The 3368-nt window shown below is 40.2% G+C and overlaps 1 annotated feature.

Annotated features, from left to right (window-relative positions):
• Nucleotides 2106–2306: a silencer, noted in NCBI's record as "peak7422 fragment used in MPRA reporter construct". NCBI's record gives its function as "represses an SCP1 promoter by STARR-seq MPRAs in K562 erythroleukemia cells {active_cell/tissue: K562}" and the evidence as "EXISTENCE:reporter gene assay evidence [ECO:0000049][PMID:32103011]".

The raw sequence follows: 3368 nt of genomic DNA, 5'->3' as shown, positions 1-3368 counted from the left end.
GAGTTAAAATCTAGACCTCATCACTTACATGTTACGCATCCTTCGGCAAGTTGATTTAACCTGTGCATCAGTTTCCTTCTCTGTAAAATGCGGATAATATCAACTATAATTTGCTGGAGAATAGTGCTTGTTATACAGTAAACACAACACATATTAGCTATTATTTTTTCAATGTTAGTTACAATTTTGCTATAAACACTATAAAATTGTTTAAAAGCTAACTTGTCACAGGTTCACTAGAGTAAAATCCTCAGGCATATACTCAGCAAAAGATAGTAGAGGATAAATAAGTTAATGTAAAAAAGAATCAAGGTACGAGTTCAGATGTGAGCAAGAAAGCACAATAGAACTTTCCAGTGCTTGGCTCCTCACAGGAACATCAATTTGAACAACTATCCTCACACAAAAATACCTTCTCAAGAGCTAAAGAAACCAGATGAGAGCTTATAGCACCTGAGTTTAATGCAGAAATAAGAAAAACTACATTGAAGATGGTAGGAAGGACAGTTTTATATTATCCTCATAACCCCTTCCTCAATCCCAGTCAGCAGTGTGGACAGAGACCCTCCGCTTGGGGGAAGAGGGAAGTGAGCACCAGACTTTGTCCATCCCAGTAAAACCAACACTGGGCCCATCCCAGTAAAATCCTGTGCCCCCATGGCCCCAAACTCTAGGCCAGTATCCCCAAACTGAGCCTCCAGACTTGCCCCAGTGCTAGGCCAGACCCTGTAGCCCCAGGCTCCAGGCCTGCCCCATGGATTTGGTCTCTGGGCCAACCCTAGCATCAAGCCAGCCCCTATAGACAGGTCCATCCGAGCAGCCTCAGATTCTGGACCACCTCCACAGCCACAGGCTTCAGGCCCACCCCAGCACTAGGCTGCCCCCACCCTTAGCCCTACTCATCAGGCTGGAATCCCTGGTCCAATCGCCAGGTTGACAATCCTGGCTTCAGGCACCAGGACAGCACCTGTGGACACAAGTTCCAGGCTTGCACAATGCCAGGCCAGCCACTGCAGCCCCATCCTCCAGCAGACCCAGGGTCCAGGTTCATCCCAATAGAGCCTAGCACTGAGCCAGCCCCCATGGACTCAGGCTATAGCACTGCTCCTATGGACTTAGATTCCAGACCCATTCTAATGCCTGGCCAGCCCCTGAAAACTGAGGCTCAAGGCCCCACCCTGTGGACCCAGGTGCTGGGCCCACTCACTTCCTTACCCAGCTACCTGGCCAGCCTGCCTAAGGACACCAGCAGCAAGCCCACTCATAGACCACATCAGACTACCTGCTAAGAATCTCTGGACAGGCTGAATGTGGAAGGGCTTTCCAAGACAAAGCCAGTCTACAAAGGCTGAAATAAGTTCCAACTTCTTCAAATTGCACAGAAACCAACGCACAGCCGTAAGGATAAAGAACAATCAGGGGAACATGACACCATCAAAGGAACAAAGGAAAGCACCAGGAAGTGAACCTAAAGAAATGGAGATTTATGAACTGCCAGCCAAAAACTTTAAAATAATTGTTTTAAGGAAGTTGATTGAACTTCAAGAAATACAAAGAAACAACTCAACAAAATTAGGAAAAGAATAAACAAGAAATTTAACAGGAATTGAAATTTAAGAAAAAAATTCTGGAACTGAAAAATATAGTGAATAAAATGAAATAGCGAGTGGCAGAATTAATGAAGCAGACAAATATGTGAACTTGAAGACAGTCTATTTGAAAATATAAAGTCAGAGAAAAAAGAAAAAAGAATAAAAAGAAGTGAAGAAAGCTTACAGGATTTATGGTACAGGATCAAAAGAGCATTATATAAATTATAGGTGTTCAAGTAGAAGACAGAGACAACAGAACAGAAAGCTTACTTACGAAAATAATTGCAAAAAGCTTTCTAAACCTGAGAAAACATATAAATACCATGTAAAGGAAGGTCAAAGATCTGAAATCAAATTCAATCCAAATAAGACTACACCAAGACATATTATAATCACACTGTCAAAAATAAGACAAAGCGCAGATAATGAAAGCAGCAAGAGAAAAAAATGCATATCACATATAAGGGAGGTCCAGTAAAGTCAGCAGTGAATTTCTTAGCAGAAACCTTACAGGCCAGGAGAAAGTGAGATGATTATATTCAAAGTGCTAAAGGAAAAACCTGCTAACCACGAACATGTTCCTGGCAAAGCTGTCCCTGAGAAATGAAGGAGAGATAAGACTTTTCCAGACAAACAAAAGCTGAGCGAGTTCATTACCACCAGACTTGTCTAACAAGGAATGCTAACGGGAGTTCTTCAAGATAAAAGATAATGCTAATTAGTAACACAAAAACATATAAAAGTATAAAACTCACTGGTAAAAGTAAATATACAAATTCAGAATACTCTAATACTGTAATGATAGTGTGTAAATCAATTATATCTTTACTATGACGGTTAGAAGATAAAATTATTAAAAATAATAGGGCCGGGCACAGTGGCTCACGCCTGTAATCCCAGCACTTTGGGAGGCCGAAATGGGCAGATTACCTAAGGTTGGGAGTTCGAGACCACCTGGCCAACATAGAGAAACCCCACCTCTACTAAAAATACAAAATTTGCCAGGCATGGTGGTGCGTGCCTGTAATCCCAGCTACTGGGGAGGCTGAGGCAGGAGAATCGCTTGAATCTGGGAGGCAGAGGTTGCGGTGAGCTGAGATGGCACCATTGCACTCCAGCCTGGGCAACAAGAGTGAAACACTGCCTCAAAAAAAAAAAAAAAACAATAATAGTAATAATAGCTACAATAATGTGTTAAAGAATGTACAATATAAAAAGATGTAAATTCTGCCTTCAAAAACATAAAATGGGGGGAGTAAAAGTATAGTTTTTTAATGCAATCAAAATTAACTTGTTATCAGCTTAACATAGCCTGTTGTAATTGTAAAATGTTTTATGTAAACCTCATAGTAACCACAAAGCAAAAAGCTATAGAAGATACACAAAAGATATAAAGTAAGGAATAAAAATATCACTGAAGAAAATCACCTAATGACTAAGGAAGGTAGCAAGAGAGGAAGAAAGGAGCAAAGCATCTATGAAACAACCAGAAAACAATGAACAAAATAGCAGTAATAAGTCCTTACCTATCAATAATTACTATGAGTATAAATGGAATAAATTCTCCAATCAAAAAACTGGTTGAATGGATTTTTAAAAAGTAAAACCTAACTATATACTGCCTAAAAGAAACTCACTTCACCTTTAAGGACACACACAGATAGTGAAGGGATGGAAAAATCTATTTTACACAAGTGAAAACCTGAAGAGAGCAGGGGTAGCTATACTTTAGATAAAACAGAATTTGAGTAAAATCTGTAAAAAGACACAAAGAAG

The sequence above is a fragment of the Homo sapiens genome, chromosome X (genome assembly GCF_000001405.40).
Source record: "Homo sapiens chromosome X, GRCh38.p14 Primary Assembly".
NCBI lineage: Eukaryota > Metazoa > Chordata > Mammalia > Primates > Hominidae > Homo > Homo sapiens.
Note: the sequence above shows the minus strand (reverse complement) of the source record. Positions and strands in the feature narration are given on the sequence as shown.